The sequence below is a fragment of the Homo sapiens genome, chromosome 3, assembly GCF_000001405.40.
Source record: "Homo sapiens chromosome 3, GRCh38.p14 Primary Assembly".
Classification (NCBI taxonomy): Eukaryota; Metazoa; Chordata; class Mammalia; order Primates; family Hominidae; genus Homo; species Homo sapiens.
Window position 1 is genome coordinate 72,907,101 of NC_000003.12, and position 21,461 is coordinate 72,928,561.

The window sequence follows — 21,461 nt, forward strand, 5'->3', positions numbered from 1 at the left end:
CAGGGAGAATGGAGAGAAGTGGACAATTTCCAGAGATACTTGGGATGTCTCTACTGTCTTTTCCTGTGATCCCCGAAGTAAATGGAATCCAAGTAACTCTCCGCATCTGGTCTTAGCTGAGCCATGAGGCTGTGCTTCTACTAAGCATGCTCATAAGTAATCAAACTGGGAGCCTTTCCAAAATGCTCCACCCACATCTTCAACTTTCCTCCTGGTGAAAGAAATCTGGAGCAAGACTGCCATTATTCAACCATGCAGTGAATAATGGAGCAGCAAGCTGATTGAACTCGAAGTTTTTGGAAGGAAGGTAGCATTTGACATCCAAGTTCCCCTGGTCTCCAAATCTTTTGTGCAAGTAAATTAGTTTCATTTGTCTCAGGGCACCTTTTCCAGGCCAACTTCTTCCAACTTGACTGCAAATGTTTCTCAGTGGTGTGTTTGAGGCTTGGCTGCATCCCTTCGTCTGGAACAAATCTTTTATTACTAGGAAATAGCTGGATGATGATTCTGGACCCTTGGACCCTATCCCTCTGTCAGCTGTTGACTCAATATTTGATACCTTGATCATTTTCAGATTAACCTACCCCCTCTCCTGCCTGTTTCTCATTAATGTGAATTTCATACTGGAAGATGAATTTCATACCCACCACCTCACCAGTATTGGCGAGACGGTCAGGATTAACACCTGTTTCTTCAAGACTCTCCTGAGATGTCGTCAGGGCGCATATGTTGTTTTCTTTGCTCACCTCCCAGACTTGCATGACTTGCTTTGGTCCAGTGGTCATGCATTCCACCCCAACCTAAAAACATCCAGATGATGGGAATATCATGTTGCTCGTTTCACATGGGAAAGCCACAACCCACACTCCTCTTGTTCAAGTTGCATTCAAATCTAATTTCCACGGCCTGTGCGAGTGGGAGCTCCACAGCCCTTGTGTCAGCTGTCGAAGTTTAGCAATACTATTTCCAAACATGGGCCAGTAGGCAGCCAGCAGGCACCAGACAGCTGAGTGCTGGCAGAAAAAGCCTCAGACACCTATAGCAGTCCAAACAGTGACTCATCCTGCTATTGCCAGGATAAATATGGGAATAAATGGTATTTTTCTCTAAGCAGGAAGAATTGTCAAAATGCTTATCACTTTATAAAATATAACAGATTGTGCCTGATCATGTTTTGAAATGTTCTAACCATTCACTCGCCGGTTTTTTGTTGTTTTTACTTTTTTGAGTTTAGTAATAGCTTTCACTTGTTTTCCCTCTTTCTAGGAGGCCTGGAGAACCCAGGAGTTTCCAAGCTGTGCTGCCACCCGAGCTCTGGATCCACCTGGCTGTGGTGGCCTGTGGCAATCGGCTGGAGGAGACGCTGGTCATGCTCAAATCAGCTGTGCTTTTTAGCCACAGGAAGATCCAATTCCACATCTTCACTGAAGACTCTCTGAAGCCCGAGTTTGATAAGCAGGTGAATTTGCAGAAATCATGGCACAGTGTTTACTAAGTACAAACAGACTACATTTTAGGAACTGCATATTCTGTTAACTAATGTATTTTGCTGCATGTTCAATTGTGTGACTTTGAACACTTGACTCTGAGCCTCAGTTTTTGGTAAAACAGGGATAATTATACCTACCTCATAGAGACATGGTGAGGATTGAATGAGACGAGGGTCTCACTCTATTGCCAAGGGTAGAGTACAGTGGTGCAATCTCGGCTCACTGCAGCCTCAACCTTCCAGGCTCAAGTGATCCTCCCGCCTTAGCCTCCCAAGTAGCTGGGACTACAGGCATGCACCACCATGTCTGGCTAATTTTTGTGTATTTTTTAATAGAGACAGAATTTTGCCGTGTTGCCCAGGTTGGCTTAAGCAGTCTACCCACCTTGGCCTCCCAAAGTGCTGGGGTTATAGGCATGTGCCACCATGCCCAGCCCCCGTTTTTTCCTTTTCTTTCTTTCTTTCTTCCTTTCTTTTTTTTTTTTTTTTTTTTTTTTGAGACAGCGGCTCACTCTGTTGCCCAGGCTGGAGTCCAGTGGTGCGATCTTAGCTCATTGCACCCTCTGTTTCCTGGGTTCAAGCGATTCTTCTGCCTCAGCCTCCCGAGTAGCTGTGATTACAGGACTGTGCCCCCATGCCTGGCTAATTTTTGTATTTTTAGTAGAGATGGGGGTCTCACCATGTTGCCTAGGCTGGTCTTGAACTTCTGACCTCAAATGATCCACCTGCCTGTCCCTCCCAAAGTGCTGGGATTACAGGCATGAGCCACTGCGCCTGGCCGGTTTTTTTTTCCCCATATATAGTTGTCTGTCTATGTTTGTACATATAGACATGCATATGTATAATTACATACATATGTATGTATCCTGATTAAATTGTATTTCTTTTACGAAAATCAGGATTGTACTCTGTATATTGTTGTGGAACTTGCTTTTTGCATTGAAAACTGTATCATCAGCATTGTTCCCAGTCAGTACTCCTACATTCTTACCTCATTCTTTTTGGTGACTACATAGTATTTTATTATGGGGCTGGGTCCTCATTTATTTGACTATTCCCATACTGAAGAACAGGTAATGAGTTTTTTCCAGTACACAAAAAGAGCTTTGGAAAGGTCTCTTCCCCCAGCGTAGGTACACACGTGACCTTTGCAGATCAAGCTTTGTTTTCCTTGAGAGTTTTCTCTTGCTGTAAGTTCTCAAATGGTGGCAGAGCGAGAAGCTGGTTTGCTTTGTGTCTACCAACTTGAGTCAACAGTGCTGTATCCTGTCACCAGGCTAGCTGGACTAATGAGAAATGCCCAAAAAAAGCATGTTGGGCAGAGAAAGGCTAATAATAGAAAGATGGAAAATGTGTTATGTTTGAGTAGGAAAAAAAAAGTACCTTGACATCTTTACCAAGAGAAACCATGGAGGAAATAGTCTTGGGGCTTTGGAATTGATTGGAAAATGCCTTGTAAAGGATCTGAATCAGGGGAAGGGTGAAGGAAAAGGGCTGAAACTCTATATAGTTAGCTCAGAGGGTGAAGTATAAGGGAAATGATAATGAGAATATATAGCATTTGTTAAGGGCTTATGATTTATGAGTTCATCTCATTTAATCCTCATAATCTTCAAAGGTAACCTTTGAAGAAGGTAATTATTATGTCCCAATTTTACAGACTGAGATCATTGAGCTTAGAGAATTTTAGTGATTTGCTCCTCAGGGTTCAGGTCAAGTTTATGGCTCACCCTTCCATGGAATTAATCGATATGCCATACCACCTCCTCAACTAGTAGACAGAAGACTCAAATTCAAAACTCACCTCCACTATGTACTTGCTATATGACCTTGGGTTAGTCTTTTGGCCTTTTTGAGCCTCAGTTTCCCCATCTGCAACTTGAGGCTAGCGGGTTTGCTAAAAGAGATGGTAGATCTGTAATATGGATAGGTCAGGTCAGGCTTCAGTAACAACTCCCCCAAAACTCAGACACTTTTCATGTGCCTGCAGCTTGCTTCCCAGGGGACAGAGCCTCCATTCTGTACAGCCTCTTAGGTTTGGGACGGAAGTAGACTGAGGCTATTCATGTGTTAGCTACACTTGCCAGAGCATTTGACATCTGTAGTTCGTGGGATGCCATGGCAGGAAAGAGACTAGAGAGTCATAACCCCGCCTTTCATTCCCTCAGTGTGGCAGTGACACAGGTCTTTCCATGCATGTTTAACTGGCTAGTAGTCACAAGCCCATCCAACTGCAGGGGACTGAGAAGTGCTCTATGTGGCGGAACAAAGGGAAGCTGGCTATGTGCAAACACTACTCATGTCTTGTACAATATCTGTCTACCCAGTACTTAATGAGTACCTGCTGCATACTAAAAAGCAAGGATGTGGGGATGGAGCAGAACAAAATACAGACTTGGACTTTAAAAGGGGAAGGGAAGGGCCAGGCGTGGTGGCTCACACCTGTAATCCCAGCACTTTGCGAAGCTGAGGCGGGCGGATCACCTGAGGTCAGGAGTTCGAGACCAGCCTGGTCAACATAGTAAAACCCTGTCTCTACTAAAAATACAAAAATTAGCTGGGTGTAGTGGAGTGCGCCATAGTCCCAGCTACTCAGGAGGTTGAGGCAGGAGAATTGCTCAAACCTGGGAGGCGGAGTTGCAGTGAGCTGAGATTGTGCCATTGCACTCTAGCCTGGGCGACAGAGAAAGACTCTGTCTCAAAAAAAATAACGAAAGGGAAGGGAAGGAAGATGTATACGTGCAACCATATCTGTTTAGCAGGTTGTACTTTCCAAGGAGGCCCCCAATGGTCCCACCTTCTGTTATTCTCATGCTGGTATACTTCCCTCCTACATTGTCCCAGGGTCCTCTGTGTAACTAATAGGACAGGGCAGAAGGGATGGTATGTCACTTCTGAGATTAAGTTACAAAAGGCACTTCACCTTCCATCTCGGATCAGTGGGTCTGGGGGAAGCCAGCTACCATGTCAGAGTAGCCCTCTGGAGAGGCCTGCATGGTGAGGAACAGAGGACCCTTGCCAACACTTGTGTGTGAGCTGGATGGAAGATCCTCCAACCCCTTCAAGCCTTCAGATGACCATAGTCCTGTAATCTCATGAGAGGCCCTGAAACAGAACAACCCAGCTTGTACATTCTCAACCCTAAGAAACTATGTAAAATCATACATGTTTGTGGTTTTATTTACTTTTATTTTTATTTTTTTGAGACAGGGTCTCACTCTGTTGCCCATTGCAGTGACACAATCATAGCTTACTGCATCCTTGAACGCCTGGGCTCAAGCAATCCTCCTGCCTCAGTATCCCCTCCATGCCTGGCTAATAAAAATATATATTATATATACTTAAATGTATATAATATATAAGTTGGGTGTGTGTGTGTGTGTGTGCATGTGTGTGTGTGTGTGTATATATATATATATATATATTTTTTTTTTTTTTTGAGACAGCGTCTCGCTCTGTCTCCCAGGCTGAAGTGCAGTGGCATGATCTTAGCTCACAGCATTCTCCGCCTCCTGGATTCAAGAAGTTCTCATGCCTCAGCCTCCCAAGTAGCTGGGACTACAAACTGCGCCACCACGCCCGGCTAATTTTTGTATTTTTAGTAGAGACAGGGTTTCGTCACATTGGCCAGGCTTGTCTCGAACACCTGACCTCAAGTAATCTACCTGCCTCAGTCTCTCAAAGTGCTGGGATTACAGGCATGAGTCACTGTGCCCAGCACTGGCTAATATTTTATTTTTTGTAGAGATGCGGTCTCCCTATGTTGCCCAGGCTGGTTTTGAACTCTGGGCTCAAGTGATTCTCCTGCCTTGGCCTCCCAAAGTACTGGGATTATAGGCACATGCCACCATGCCTTGCCTGTTTGTGATTGTACGTTACTAAGTTTTGAGGTAATTGGTTATAAGGCAACAGTTAATATATTACATATATATGTACATACACATGTACATACACATATACATACACAAACATATATGTATGTATGAAATACATTATGCCAAATGTAATGCTATGTGACAAAAAAAGGATACAGCTTCTGCCTGGCTCTTTGTGAGGATGCCTGCCCCTGAAAAGAACTGAGGCCTCCAGCCAACAGCCAGCCCCAACGTCTAGACATGTGAGTGAATAAGCTTTCAGAAGATTCCAGCCGCCAGCCTTCAAGGCTTCCAGCTGAGGCCCCAGACACTGTGGAGCAGAGTCAACCTGTCCCCTCCTCTGCCTTGTCTGAATTCCTGATCCATGAAATCTGTAAGCATAATAAATGATTGTTTTATACCACTAAGTTTTGGGGTAATTTTTTATGAGCTGTAAGAACTGGAACATTATAAATTAAGAGCTAAATTATATGGGAAAATTATTGCAGATAGTTGTGAAGTTGTGCTAGGTGTTGAATTTTCCTGATGACTTTATCCCTTTGATGGTTCATTTCCTCAGGTTTTTTTTTTGTTTTTTTTTTTGTTTTTTTTGAGACGGAGTCTTGCTCTGTGGCCCAGGTGGGAGTGCAGTGGCGCAATCTCGGCTCACTGCAAGCTCCGCCTCCCAGGTTCACGCCATTCTCCTGCCTCAGCCTCCCGAGTAGCTGGGACTACAGGCGCCCGCCACCACGCCCGGCTAATTTTTTTGTATTTTTAGTAGAGACGGGGTTTCACCGTGTTAGCCAGGATGGTCTCGATCTCCTGACCTCGTGATCCGCCCGCCTCGGCCTCCCAAAGTGCTGGGATTACAAGCGTGAGCCACCGCGCCCGGCCTCCTCAGGTTTTTATTAAACCAGTGAAGCTCATCTAATGAAGGAAATTATGACAGGGTGTTAAAAACTAGGCAGGGGATGGGCATGATGGCTCACGCCTGTAATCCCAGCACTTTGGGAGGCCAAGGCCAGTGGATCACCTGAGGTCCGGAGTTCGAGACCAGTCTGGCCAACGTGTCAAAACCCCATCTCTACTAAAAATACAAAAATTAGCCAGGCTTAGTGGTGTGTGCCTGTAGTCCCAGCTACTCGGGAGTCTGAGGCATGAGAATCACTTGAACCTGGGAGGTGGAGGTTGCAGTGAGCCAAGATTACGCCACTGTACTCCAGCCTGGGTGACAGAGCAAGACTCTGTCTCAAAAAATAAATAAATAAAAATAATTTTTAGAAAAACTAGGCAGGGTGTATACTACCGTCACTTTCTTGTCCATGCAGGGATTATGTTGCCAGTTTAGCTGCATACTGCCTTTGCCCTTACGTAAGCCATAGAATTTCCTCAGCCTCAGTTTGTCATCTGTGTCGTGGGGCAAATGATACCCTGCTTATGGTGGTGAGGCCAAATCAGATAAAGAATTTTTTTTTAATCCCACAAAGATTCTCTGGAACATCTCCTATATTTTGGGCACTTTGTTAGGTCTAAAGAAATAGAACAGCCGTTTTGGGTCCTGCCAAGCCACTGGCACATGCTGAAGGGGTGGGCTCTGTCACCCTTCTCCAGGGCATTGTGGGCAACCCAGGGTTTTTTTTGGGATAACTTCTGGGAAGCTCAGGGCCACATATTTTTTACCTCAGGGTGAAAACAAAACAAAATGCCAGTACCGTCATGATTCCTCCGAAGGCTGCAGTATGGGCGAGTTCTTCTGTATTTAATTAGACTTTTTAAAGTTGCATATGTACAGGATGTCTGGTGGTATTTGCCATCTATGTGGTAGATACTTCATATTTTAAAGTTTCATTTATTTTCGTCATCTCCCAACAGAGAAGTGGGAGATGCCAGCCAGTTGGTTTCCTAGGCTTTTCCGGCAGCTTGGGATCAGGCATGTGGTTGAGATTCGGCTAAACTGTGCTACTGCCCAACTCAGAATCAGGAAGTAGTGGGACACACAAATAAGGAGGCTACCAATCCATTCTGGTGGTAGGGGCGGCCAGTATATATATGTATGTTTTTATATATATATATTTACATATATATGTGTGTGTGTGTGTGTGTGCGCGCGCGCGCTTGCGTGCGCATGTATATGCGCGTATGTGTGCCCATGTGCGTGTGTGTGAGGGGGTGGCAAGAAGAGAGCTGCCATGGGAAGAATTGTCATCAGGAGCTTTCAGTGCCTGGAGTCAGTGGGGCAAACTGTGGCACTTGTGGTGACAGTAGCTGGGGTTTCCTTACCAGACTGGCTTGTGGTAGGCTCTAACAGATTGAAAAGATACCGACGCCATAGAGCCTGGGTCTGTCTCAAGCTGGATCAGGGCATGACCCCTGAGTCTGGTTCTCCAGCCCTCCCACTGGTCTTCTGAGCTACCTAACATCCTTTCATTAAATTCTTTTTGGCTTAAAGAGCCTGAATTGGGCCAGACGCAGTGGCTCACACCTGTAATCCCAACACTTTGGGAGGCCAAGGCAGGCTAAGGCCAGGAGTTTGAGCCCGTCTCTACTAAAAATACAAAAATTAGCTGGGCATGGTGACACACACCTGTAATCCCAGCTACTTAGGAGGCTGAGGCATGAGAATCGCTTGAACCCGGGAGTGGAGGTTGAATGAGCCAAGATGGCACCACTGCACTCCAGCCTGGGCAACAGAGTGAGACTCCATCTCAAAAAGAGCCTGAATTGGTTTTATTGCGAGCAACCTAGCATCCTGAGAGTAACACAAAGTAACTAAAACATGGTGAGGAGTTGTTTTTTTTCCTTTAAAGAAAGAAAAAAAAGCACCAAAGGGCTGCTTTTAAATAGTACCACGTGCTTTTAGAGGACGGGGACCATGCCTCTTCGTTACCCATTTCCTTTTTTTTTTTTTTTTGCGGGGGGGGGGGGGATTTAGGAAAAATAGCCCATAGAAAGAGATGATAAGGTATTCTTCAGTAATTTAAAGACGTATACAATCGGAATTAGATTTTTTCCGTGTTGCTCTGCAGAACAAAACGAGGGGTGATGTGGGGGAGGTCTCAGGCAGCTGGTTCTAATTCCATGCAAGGAGCCCTTTTTAAAGGTATTGAGGGAGCTGGGCGCGGGTGGCTCACGCCTGTAATCCCAGCGCTTTCGGAGGCCAAGGCGGGCGGATCACCTGAGGTTGGGAGTTCGAGACCAGCCTGGCCAACATGGTGAAACCCCGTCTCTACTAAAAATACAAAAATTAGCCCATGTTGTGGCATGCGCCTGTAATCCTAGCTATTCAGGAGGCTGAGGCAGAATTGCTTGAACCTAGGAGGCAGAGGTTGCAGTGAGCCAAGATCGCGCCACTGCACTCTATCCTGGGTGACAGAGGGAGACCCTGTCTCAAAAAAAAAAAAAGAGAGATTGGGTTTCTCATTACTAGAGGAACAAGCTGAGGCTGGCCCAGCAGTGTCAGGGATGTCCATGGAGGACTTGGGAAAGGTAACGGCTGCACTTCACTGTCCCTGTGTGGTCCTTGTTGTCTTACCTTCGTGGTCATTATTAGATGCATGGTCCATGATCCTTTTAGATGCATGGTCATTTGGCACCTCCCTGACTCCTCTGAAGTTGGGTGTGATTGTGTGATTTGCTTTGGCCAATGAAATGTAGGTGACAGTGATGAGCGTCACTTTTAACATGAAATATGTCACTTCCTGGTGGAAACTTAAGATCTAGTATGTGTTTTGCCACACTTCCTTCTCTTGCATCTGCGTTCACTGATGTGAGTTGAGATGGAGCCTCCATGAGTTTGGCCCCTGAGTGAGAATACTGAGCACAGCCCCTTGCCAGTCTGAAGATGTAGCAGGAGCAAGAAACAAACTTTAGGAAAAAAAAAAAAGAAAAGAAAAACACCTTAAAATAAACTTTTTTGGGGGTGGGGGTAGAGATGGGGTCTTGCTATATTGCCCAGGCTGGTCCCTAACTCCTGGTCTCAAGTGATCCTCCAACCTTGACCTCTCAAAGTGTTGAGTTTATAGGTATGAGTCACCACACCTGGCCATAAATTCTTGATAACCCTAGTTTATCCTGACTGATGCAACTGAGTTTGTTTGTTTTTGTTTTTGTTTTTGAGATAGAGTCTCGCTCTGTTGCCCAGGCTGGAGTGTAGTGGCGTGATCTCCACTCACTGCAACCTCTGCCTCCTGGGTTCCAGTGCTTCTTGTGCCTCAGCCCCCCTAGTAGCTGGGATTACAGTCGTGCACTACCACACCCAGCTAATTTTGTATTTTTTAGTAGAGACGGGGGTTTCACCATGTTGGCCAGGCTGGTCCCGAACTCCTGACCTCGGCCTCCCAAATTTTAGGATTACAGATGTGAGCCACCTCGCCCAGCCGCAGTTGAGTTTTAACAGCTTCATTGTATCTAGTGTGTTATTGTAAACCAGCCAAACCCTTGTGAAAGCAATGTAATGGATTTGAGATCCTAAAAGTCTTCTGTTCTATAACATTTGTAGATGCTCAAAAATATTTTTTATAACTTGAAAAGAATGAATGAACCTGCAAGAAAGGAGGAGTTACCTACTGAGGTAAAGGATGAGGTGGGCGGTTAGATTGACAAAGGTAGTTAAACCTTTCGGAAGATAGGATGCTAACAATTAGAGTGGCAAGGATTTTTTTGTTTTTGTGTTTGTTTTTTTGAGACAGGGTCTCACATTGTCATCCAGGTGGAGTGCAGTGGTGCCATCACAGCTCACTGCAGCCCCAACCTCTCAGACTGTTAGAGGATGCCGAGAGCTAAGGGAGCCCGTGAACCATGTGAATTTCCCATACTTTTTCGAGGGCTGATTTTGGGCTGTTGTGCGGTGGTACAATTGTACTGGTATTTGTGCCCAGTATTTGTGCCAGTGTTCATTCTGACTGGTCAGTACTGTCATACTGAGAGTTTATGCCTAGCGTCAGTTCTAATGGGATCTGTGCAATTATACTGGGTAAATACTAGGTAATGCCTGGTGTGGGTTCTAATTGGTCAGTACCCTTCATATATCAAATGTCAAATACTTTGTCTGTCACTCCTTTCCTATTAAGAATTTTAAAGTATTTCCAATCATGTATTTCAAAAAATGTTTATATCCCAGCCTGGGCAACATGGCAAAACCTTGTCTCAGTAAAAAATAGAAAAATTAGCCAGGCATGATGGCATGCATGTGTGGTCCCAGCTACTTGGGAGGCTGAGGTGGGAGGATCACCTGAGCCCAGAGAGATCAAGGCTGCAGTGAGCCATGATCGTGCCACTGTACTCCAGCCTGGGCAACAGAGTGAGGCCCCATCTCAAAAAAAAAAAAAAAAGTTTATATGGTTATATAAACAATATATGTACATTGTAAAAACCAGTAAATTCATAAATAATAAATGGAAAAAAAACCCATTACACTAATGCTCAGGGAGAACAGTTTTGGTGTATATATATAATACTTATTTCCATTCCTTTTCTTTTCATATCACCATCAGAAATGGGATCTCTTTTATATCACTGATGCTTATATTACTGAGTTTCCTCTAAAGTGAGTTGACCAATGTTTCCTGGAAAACGCCAGATAGTAACTATTTTAGGCTTTGCAGGCTGTATGGTCTCTATCCCAACTACTCAATGTGCTATTTAGAGTAGAAGCAGCCACAAACAATATATAAACAAATGGGTGTGGCTGTGTTCTGGTAACATTTTACTTATGGGCACTGAGATTTGAATTTCATATAATTGTCACAAAATATTATTCTTGTTTTGATTTTTTAAAACTATTTTAGAATGCCAAACCATTGTTGGCTTGTGTACTCTTTGTGGCAGGCTAGATTTGGCTCTGGTACTACCATAATTTGCTGACCCCAGTTCTATGACATTATCACTAATGACTACATTGCATTCTGTTATATAGATAGACTCTGGAGCTTACTTAACCAAACTCTTCTTTAGATTGTTTCTAATTTTTCATTGTTACAAACAACACTAAAACAAACAACCTTGTAATAAACAAGTATCCATTTTTGAAATTTTTCCTTAGGAATAATTCTTAGAATTGTTGTAGCAACGGGAAGGCATTAACTCAAAAAAATTGAGAAGGGCCAGCCACGGTGGCTCATGCGTGTAATCCTAGCACTTTGGGAGGATGAGGCGGGCGGATTGCCTGAGCTCAGGAGTTCAAGACCAGCCTGGGAAACATGGCGAAACCCCATCTCTACTGAAAATACAAAAAAATTAGCTGGGCATAGTAGTGCGCGTCTACTCGGGAGGCTACTCGGGTAGGCTGAGGCACAAGAATTGCTTGAACCCGGGAGGCAGAGAGTGCAGTGAGCTGAGATCATGCCACTGCACTCCAGCTTGGGCAACAGAGCAAGGCTCTGTCTCAAAAAGAAAAAAAAAATTAAGATACACAGATGGCAAACAAGCATATGAAAAGATGTTCAGTGTCATATGTGATTAGAGCATTGTAACTTAAGATAACAATGAAACACCACTACACACCTATTTGAATGGCTAAAATCTAGAACCCTGACAACACCAAATGCTGGTGAGGATGTGGAGCAACAGGAACTCTCATTCATTGCTGGTAAGAATGCAAAATCATGCAGCCACTTTGGAAGACGGTTTGGCAGTTTCTTAGGAAGCTGAATATAGGCTTACTATACAATCCAGGAATTGAACTCCTAAGTATTTACCCAAATGAGTTGAAAACTTATGTCCACACAAAAACCGGTACACAGATGTTTGTAGCAGCTGTATTCACAGTTTCCCAAAACTGGAAGCAACCAAGATATCCTTCAGTAGGTGAATGGATAAACAAACTGTGATATATTCATACCATAGCATACAGTATTATTAAATGATTAAAATAAAATGAGCTATCAAGCCACAAAAAGACATGTAGGAGACCTAAATGCATATTGCTAAATGAAAGAAGCCAGTCTGAAAAGGCAAGGTACTATATGATTCTAACTATATCACATTCTGGAAAAGGTAACATGAAGAGACTATATAAAAAGATCAGTAATGGGCTGGGCACGGTGGCTCACGCCTGTAATCCCAACACTTTGGGAGGCCAAGGCATGTAGATCACCTGAGGTCGGGAGTTTGAGACCAGCCTGACCAACATGGTGAAACCTCATCTCTACTAAAAATACAAAAAGTAACTGGGTGTAGTGGCAGTCACCTATAATTCCAGCTACTCAGGAGGCTGAAGCAGGAGAATTGCTGGAACGTGGGAGGCGGCGGTTGCAGTGAGCTGAGATTGCGCCATTGCACTCCAGTCTGGATGACAGCGCGAGACTCTGTCTCAAAAACAAAAAGAAGTTCAGGTGAGAGGGCAGGCAGGAATGTTGAAAAGTTGGAGCAGAGAGGATTTTTACGGTAGTGACACTGTTCTGTATACTGTAATGATAGATACATGATGTGCATTTGCCAAAATCCATAGAAAGAGTGTACAACAGAAAGAATTAACACTAATGTAAACTGTGGACTTTAGTTAGTAATAGCATATTGATATTGACTTATCAGTTGTAACAAATATACCACATGAATGCAAGATATAAATAATAGGGGAAACTGTAGGGGAGGGAGAAGAGAGAGGCTATCTGGAAACTCTGATTTCTGCTCAATTTTTCTTTTTTCTTGTTTGTTTTCATTGTTGTTCTTGTTTTTACTTTTTTTATTTTTTATTTATTTTTTTATTTTTTGAGACAGAGTCTCACTCTGTCACCCAGGCTGGAGTGCAGTGGTCCAATCTTGGCTCACTGCAGCCTCCGCCTTCCGAGTTGATGTGATTCTCCTGCCTCAGCCTCCTGAGTAGCTGGGACTACAGGCGTGCCTCACCGCTCCTGGCTAATTTTTGAATTTTTAGTAGAGACCGGGTTTCACCATGTTGGCCAGGCTGGTCTTGAACTCCTGACCTCAAGTGATCCACCCGCCTTGGCCTCCCAAAGTCATGAGATTACAGGCGTCAGCCACCACTCCTGGCCTTGTTTTTAATTTTTTTAAGAGGCAGGTCTTGTTATACTGCGCTGGCTGGTCTCAAATTCCTGGGCTTAAGCAATCTTCCCACCTTGGCCTCCCAAAGTGTTAGGATTACAGGCGTGAGCCACCAACACCTGGCTGACTTTCTGTAAACATTAAACTGCTCTAAAATCTAAAAGTGTATTTTAAAAATTTTGTTATAAAATTAATATATGCAAAGAAAGTAATATATACTCATTGTAAAAATTCTAAAGAATATGGAAATGTAGCCCGAGGAAATGAAACCACCATCACCAGCTATAGAGTGCCCACTTTTAATAATTTGGTGCATATCCATCTAGGTTTTTCTTTACATATAAAATGTACATGCATATATATATATATATGTATTTTTTTTTTTTTTTAGTCAGAGTCTCACTCTGTCCGTCAGACTGGAGTGCAGTGGCATGATCTCAGCTCACTGCAACCTCCACCTCTGCCTCCCGGATTCAAGTGATTCTCCTGCCTCAGCCTCCTGAAGTAGCTGGGATTACAGGCGCCCACCACCACGCCAGCTAATTTTTGTATTTTTAGTAGAGACGGGGTTTCGCCATGTTGGCCAGGCTGGTCTCAAACTCCTGACCTCAAGTGATCCCCCTGCCTGGGCCTCCCAAAGTGCTGAGATTACAGGTGTGAGCCACCACGCCCGGCCTCATGCATATATTTTTTCCTATAAGACAGAACCATTCATTCAGACAGTAGTGAAGAAATAAAAAAAAAAAAATTTATAGTTTTTTTGCACTTTGCTTTTTCCAAAACCCAACTATATGTTATAACTGTTTTCCATGTCAGTACATATCTACATAACAGAACACAATGCAGTCATTAGTGACAATGATATAGAACTGAGGTCAGCAAACTATGGGAGTACAAGAGCCAAATCCAGCCTGCCACAAATAACACAAAAGACATCTACTTTATTCTAACTGTACATTATTCTATTTTTCTTTTTCAATTTAATTTAATTTAATTTAATTTTTTTGAGACACAGTCTCGCTCTGTCACCCAGGCTGGAGTACTGTGGCACGATCTCACTGCAACCTCCGCCTCCCTGGTTCAAAGCAATTCTCGTGTCTCAGCCTCCCGAGTAGCTGGGACTACAGGCATGTGCCACCATGCCCAGCTAATTTTTGTGTTTTTTAGTAGAGATGGGGTTTTGCTGTGTGGCCAGGCTGGTCTCAAACTTCTGGCCTGAAGAGATCCACCCACTTCAGCCTCCCAAAGTGCTGGGATTACAGGCATGAGCCACCATCCCTGGTCCCTCTAACGGTACATTATTTTATTATATAGTTCTGTCATACTTAATTGTCCCAATTCCTTATTATTGGACATTTTGATTGTTCCCAAGTTTGTTGGGTTTTTTTCCTCTTCCAAGCTGCAAAGTTCTCAAGTCTTGTTATTACAAACTAGGTTGTGGTGAATGTCCTTGTACCTCTGTCTTTTGGGGTGTTGTTACCAGTTTCCAAGTTAACCTTTTGGAAGTTTGTTCAAATCTATACTCCCCTCTGCAGTTTCTCAACACTGTTGCCAACGGTGAATGTTATTTTTTAAAATCTTAGCAATTTTAGTAGGAGCAAATACTCTTTCATTTAGTGAACATTCATAGTGGTGATGAAGTTAGACTTTCTGTGTAAGTTGCCTGAATAATTTCCATTTGACCATCCAGAAGCTTCGCAGGCATTTTCCATATTTCCTAGGGCCTAATCACCCTTCCCTTGCTTCCCATGTTTTTCAGTTACGCCAGTGGCCTGACTCATATACAAAGAAGTTTGAGCACAGAATCTACCCCATCACATTTTCTGTTGGAAACCCTCAGGAGTGGAAGAAATTGTTCAAACCCTGTGCTGCCCAGAGACTCTTTCTTCCGGTAGGAACACCTGTTTTTAATAAGTTGTAGCTTGCTCCTGGAAATAAGGTAAAATTAGCTGAGATGTGTGTAGAAACATTTAACTTAACAGCTGAAAACCTGTGTCTCTTGGATTCTGGAGCTGATGCTCTAAGTCTGCAGCATGTAGAGAGGATCCCTGTGTTCTGGAGGTTGTCATACCGAAAGACTGAGGGACTGTGAGCATTCAAATCCTGTCTTGGATCATTGGTCTTTGTGACTATGGTTCCATTATTTACTGGCTCCTGTGAACCTCGTTAAATCCCCCAACTTTACTAACTTCAGTTTTATCCATAGGCTTGGCACATAGCTGGCCCTCAATAAATATTAGCCTGGATTATTGTTATTTCTCTTATCACAATAACAACTACTAGTTATGGCCATACTAGGCTATCATTCCAAAAGGGTCCAGAATTTTGGTTTAGTCTTTTAGTTTAATGAATTTTTAAATTGCATGTTTTTGGTTGCTTTTTTAAAATCTTGAGGCCGGCATGGCGGCTCACACCTATAATCCCAGTACTTGGGGAGGCCAAGGCAGGCGGATCACTTGAGCACAGGAGTTTGAGACCAGCCTGGGCAACAGGGTGAAATCCCATCTCTACAAAAAATACAAAAATTAGGCGGGGTGTGTTGGCTTAGACCTATAATCCCAGCACTTTGGGAGGCTGAGGCGAGTGAGTCACCTGAGGTTAGGAGTTCAAGACCAGCCTGGCCAACATGGTGAAACCCTGTCTCTACTAAAAATACAAAAATTAGCCAGGCTTGGTGGTGTATGTCTGTAATCCCAGCTACTCAGGAGGCTGAGGCAAGAAAATCGCTTGAACCCAGGAGGCAGAGCTTGCAGTGAGCCAAGATCACGCCACTGCACTCCAGCCTGGGCAACAAGAGCTAAACTACATCTCAAAAAAAAAATTACCTGGGCATGGTGGCGCATGCCTGTAGTCCCAGCTACTTGGGAGGCTGAGGTGGGAGGATCATCTGAGCTCAAGAGGTTGAGGCTGCAGTGAGCCATGATCGCACCATCACACTCCAGCCTACCTGACAGACTGAGACCGTGTCTCAAAAAAGTAAATAAAGAAATAAAATTTTAAAAATCAAATAATAATAAAAATATTCAATAGAAAAAGATATTTCAAAAGTGAGAATAATATTGCACAGGGATAGCAACTTTGAATTGTCAGTTGCTGCCTTAATTTTTGTGAGGGATTCATGCCTTCAGTAGACATTTGTTGAGTGCCCACCAGGGTGCTGGGCCCTGGCTCAGTGATGATGACATGGTAATAAGACAGCCATGGTCCTGTTTCCTTGAAGCTTGAGTCTAGTAGGGCCTTGAACAAATAATTAGAAGTATGACCAGTACTAAGAGGAGATAATCTCATGGATGTATGTAACATGGGGTTCCATCCTGGTCTGAGAGAGATCATAGAAGGTTCTCCTGAGGCAGTGGCATATTTTTTTGTGGAGATGGGGTCTCGCTATATTGCTCAGGCTGATCTTGAACTCCTGTGCTTAAGTGATCCTCTCGCCTTGGCCTCCCAAAGTAGTAGGATTACAGGCATGAGCCACCATGCCTGTCCAGCAGTGGCATTTATGCAGACATGAATGAAGGAGAAGTAAGGGTTACTAGGTGACAAGGGCCTTGGGGGTAATGAGAGAAAAGAGGGGTCCAGGCAGATGGAACAGTATATACAAAGGCCCTAAGGTGGGAAGGGCCATGTTTAAGAAAATAAAAGAAGGTCATAGTAACCAAAAAATAGAAAGTGAGATGAGAATGAAGCAATCAGCAGAGACTGGAGCTTGCAGGCTCAGCAAGCCATCTAGAAGTGTCTGGTCTTTGTCTTTTTTTTTTTTTTTTTAAGAGATAAGGTCACTCTCTGTCGCCCCTGCTGGAGTGCAGTGGTGCAGTCATGGCTTACTGCAGCCTCCAACTCCTGGGCTTAAGTGATCCTCCCACCCGAGCCTCACAAGTAGCTGGGACTACAGGTGTGAGCCACCATGCTTAGCTAATTTTTTTATTTTTTGTAGAGATGATGTCTTGCTATGTTGCCAGCCTGGTCACATACTCCTCACATACTCCTGGGCTCAAGCGGTCCTCCCACCTTGACCTCCCACAGTGCTGGAATTGCAGATGAGAGCCACAGCACTCAGCCCAGTCTTTTTCTTAAGGGCAGTGGGAAGCCACTGGATGATTTTTTGCAGCAAGTGGCATGTTCTAACTTGTGTTTTAGAGAAGACACTCTGGTTTATGGCAGCGCAGACAGGGTTGGTGAAGCCAGGTCACTAACTTGGTTTGGGCTTTGATGGTTGCCTTAGAGATGGATAATGGACCTGCCTGAAACGGAATTTACCAACCTTCATGATTGGCTCGTTGTAAGAGTTGAAGGGGGAGTGACATGAAAAGGATTTTACCAGATTTTTTTTTTAACCTGAACAACTGTTAAGGTTGATCCATTTGAAATTGCCAGTATTCAACCATTAATGACCTACAAAAAGGTAATTTCTTATGGCTCAACGTAAGAAATAAATGGCAGAATCATTTAGGGATAGAAAAGACAGGGAAAAGCAGTTTTGGTAAAGGGGTCAAATGAGTTTAATTTGGGTCATACTTTGATTTTGAGGTGGCTGAGGATACTCAAGCAGAAGGAATCGTCACATCTATCGGTCTGGAAACACTAACTGGGGAGTAGCCCTTTTGGCATTTCCTACGCAGAGACCTGTGAGCAGAATAAACCCTGGATGAATTGTTGGCAGCGATCAGCTGCCCAAGCTCACTTGCTCATTATGTCATCTATTTTTCTTTTTCTTTCTTTTTTTTTTTTTTGAGACAGAGTCTCACTCTGTCGCCCAGGCTGGAGTGCAGTGGCACAATCTCAGCTCACTGCAACCTCCACCTCCTGGGTTCAAACAATTCTCCTGCCTCAATCCCCCAAGTAGCTGGGATTTTGGCGCATACCACCATGCCCCGCTAATTTTTGTATTTTTAGTAGAGACAGGGTTTCACCATGTTGGTCAGGCTGATCTTGAACTCCTGACTTCAGGTGATCCGCCCGCCTCGGCCTCCCAAAGTGCTGAGATTACAGGCATGAGCCACTGCGCCTGGCCACATCGTCTGTTCTTCACATGTCACAGACCTTTATATATAATCGCATAAAAACTGGGGTAGGAAAAGACTCCCTCCAATTGACACGAAAATCTCTAGGTTGGTGATATAAAAACTGATTACTCTTTGAGGTGAGAGAAAATGTTAGGTTTGTTGCTTGTCTCCATTTTTGCAAAAAATAAGTATTAGAAAACCAAAGGTAATGTTGGGAAATGGTCTTCCCATTCTATCCAAAATATTAGCTACCCAATGGAACTACATTTGAATTTTTGTTGACCTTGAATTGTGACTTTATTACCATTATTTAAAAAAAAACAAATTCATCACCTAATGGCCTTAATTCTTTCCCAGCTAAGTAGGTGCTTGGTTTTGAATGACAAATGGGTGCTGGCATTCCTTATCTGCTTCTGATAATGGAAACGAGCCCTCTTTAAAAATAATAAAGAGAGATTGTGGTTGACAGGACATTTACCTTTTCCTAGTTGTATATCACAACAGCAGATTATGAACATGGCATTTTTGGGCATCAGTGAGATGTATTGATCTTGAGGGTAATTTTAAAGTCTAGGTTGTGTTTTCCTTGGAATTCATCTCTTTAAAACCATATCAGGTGTGCTGCCTCAGGAGCACAGAGAAAATGGAGATCCTAAAGTGCAAACATTCTATCAGGTAGTCAGTTGACTGAGGACCATGGTCCCACCCATTTTCCAAGAGGCTGTCATCTACCCAAAACTGTGGAAGAGACCCTTTCTCAACTAAGATTTTACTATCTGAATAATATCAGAGCATAAGTCTTTGCAACTCAAGCCAATTAGATTCTCAGGTACAATTAGTGTGATTCAGATCCCACCAATTCAAAATTTATGAACTCCTACAAATCAGTGGACATTTACTCCTCTACTTCTGTGACTAATGGTCCTATGACATGGGATCATTATGAATGCAAACTAAACTGCAGATGGCTTGGTTAAGCGTTCTAAAATGCATATTTCAGGTAATTCAGAAGCTTAAAATATTTAAAACAATATGCCAATTACAAATAAATCAAATGTGTTCATTAAAATTGATTCTGGAATACTTTTATTTTCTTAGTACAGGCCAGAAATCCTTTACATCTGTAAGAGTAATTGAGTTGTATGAATTCACATCACCTTTCCCCCAATTAATTGGAAGTAGTGAGATTTTATAATAGATCTGTACATTTTGCTACACGCTGTGAGGAGAGAAATTATGAAGATTTCTCTCCTCAATAACTGTGGTCTTCTGGGAATCCTAGAGATAGGTAAAACATGACAGACATCACTGGATTGCAGAACCTTTAGAGACATTATTAGTGAGTGGTACCCAATATGGTAATTTGAGGTAGGGTAAGGTTGTATCCAGGGATAAATGTTTTTGGTTTTGTTTTTACCAAGTTTTAATAAGCTCCAAGGTTATGATAATGTCTGATGTCTTTTTTGCTCCCAACATTCACCATAGATAGCCATATTTAAGGAAGGAGTTAGAGAGGGTCTCACTGTGTTGCCCAGGCTAGAGTGCAGTGGTGCAATCATGGATCACTGCAGCGTCAACCTCCTGGGCTCAAGTGATCCTCCCACCTAAGCCTCCTGAGTAGCTGGGACCACAGGTACACACCACCATGCCCAGCTAATTTTTAAAATTTTTGTAGAGACAAGAGTCTCACCATGTTGCCCAGGCTGGTCTCAAACTCCTGGGCTCAAGTGATCCTCCTTCCTAGGCCTCCTAAAGTGCTGGGATTACAGGTGTGAGCCACCGCACCTGGCCAAATTAGTTATAGCTTTAACCTGTAAATGTATTCTGAAAGTTTTCTGACTCCATATTTCCAAGAAACTTGTCCCACTCCTTAATATTTCAAAGGACTACCATGCCAAATAAAGATAAATCTTTATTTTATGTAGTGAAAGCAACAATGTATAATCTTCTCTTTTCTACTTACGGCTTGTTAAAGAGACCGGTAACTGGTTCTAATGTTTTGAAATCTGCATGCTTACCAATGATGTCTTCATGAGTTAGCTGTAGGCTAATGGAAAAAGGAAGCTTATCATACTTTTTAGAACTTTTTATAATTAAGGTCAGACCTCTATATTATTATTAATATTACACCTCAGTATTTGCAATTAACATTGAGACATCCTTGCAACAAACCCTTTGGATATTAACAAATATTGACACACATATAGGAATATATTAAAAATCCTTATTAAGGGGAACACCAATTAGAATCACCATAAATGATGTTTATACATTTCATCAAGCACCAAGAGGCCATAAATTATTTGGATGAGATTAGCCACCTAAATGATTACATGAAATGACCTTAGATACCAATTTTGTTGAACAAGCTTTCCACAGTACTTATCATTTACTCATACACTATTAAAAGTTTGACATTCAGGATATTAGCTACAACTCTTGGTTATATGTGAGAGAAACTCAACTCCAACTAGCAAAGAAGGAAATTAATTTATTGGCTTATCTAACTGCAAAGTCCACACTGTAGGGCTGATTCCAAGCACAGCTAGATCCAGAGGCTAACATAATGTCATCAGGACTCTGTCTCTCTCTTTCAGTCCCTTGCAAGGCTACTCCATAAGCATAATGATTGCTCAAAGCAGCCTGAAATCCAAATTCTAGCAGCTTAGCAGCTACGGCAGAAAAAGAGCATGGCAAGGTAGCAACTTCCAAAATGGTGACATTAGGAGCCCTGTGGAATTGCTCCCCAGTGAAACAAGCATAACTTGTGAAAATAATTTTTAAAATAACTATCTAAATACTTTGGAAATTGTCCTAAGGACCTAGGCAAATGAAGGAACATTTATTCAAGAAAATCTACTAAAACTTGGTAAGAAGAGTGAGAATCGGTGACATTTGAACCACAGCCTCCCTCCTTCCCCCTTCCAGTTCAGTGTGATAAAAATTCACCTTCTACCTGAAGTTCATTCAAGAACACAGGGATTCCTCTCTCTCCAGCTCCCAGTTGAGGAACATGGTATCTCCTTGGGAGGCACAGGCCATCAGCATTTCTTATTGCTACTAGCTAGCTATGTGTTGCAGAGCCTAAATTCCATGGAGGTGTGGCCTAGAAGC

The 21,461-nt window shown here is 43.1% G+C and overlaps 1 protein-coding gene across 2 annotated transcripts in view; it reads left to right on the forward strand.

Annotated features, from left to right (window-relative positions):
• GXYLT2 (glucoside xylosyltransferase 2) overlaps nucleotides 1-21,461 on the forward strand; it is an 88,870-nt gene that overhangs the window by 19,055 nt on the left and 48,354 nt on the right. For both annotated transcript variants that reach the window (NR_138564.2, NM_001080393.2), the window contains exons 2-3: nucleotides 1,267-1,459; nucleotides 15,104-15,235. Coding sequence is in view for 1 of the 2 variants with exons in the window: in NM_001080393.2 (NP_001073862.1) it covers nucleotides 1,267-1,459; nucleotides 15,104-15,235 (325 nt within the window). In the remaining variant the exon portion in view is untranslated. The remainder of the gene's footprint in view (nucleotides 1-1,266; nucleotides 1,460-15,103; nucleotides 15,236-21,461) is intronic.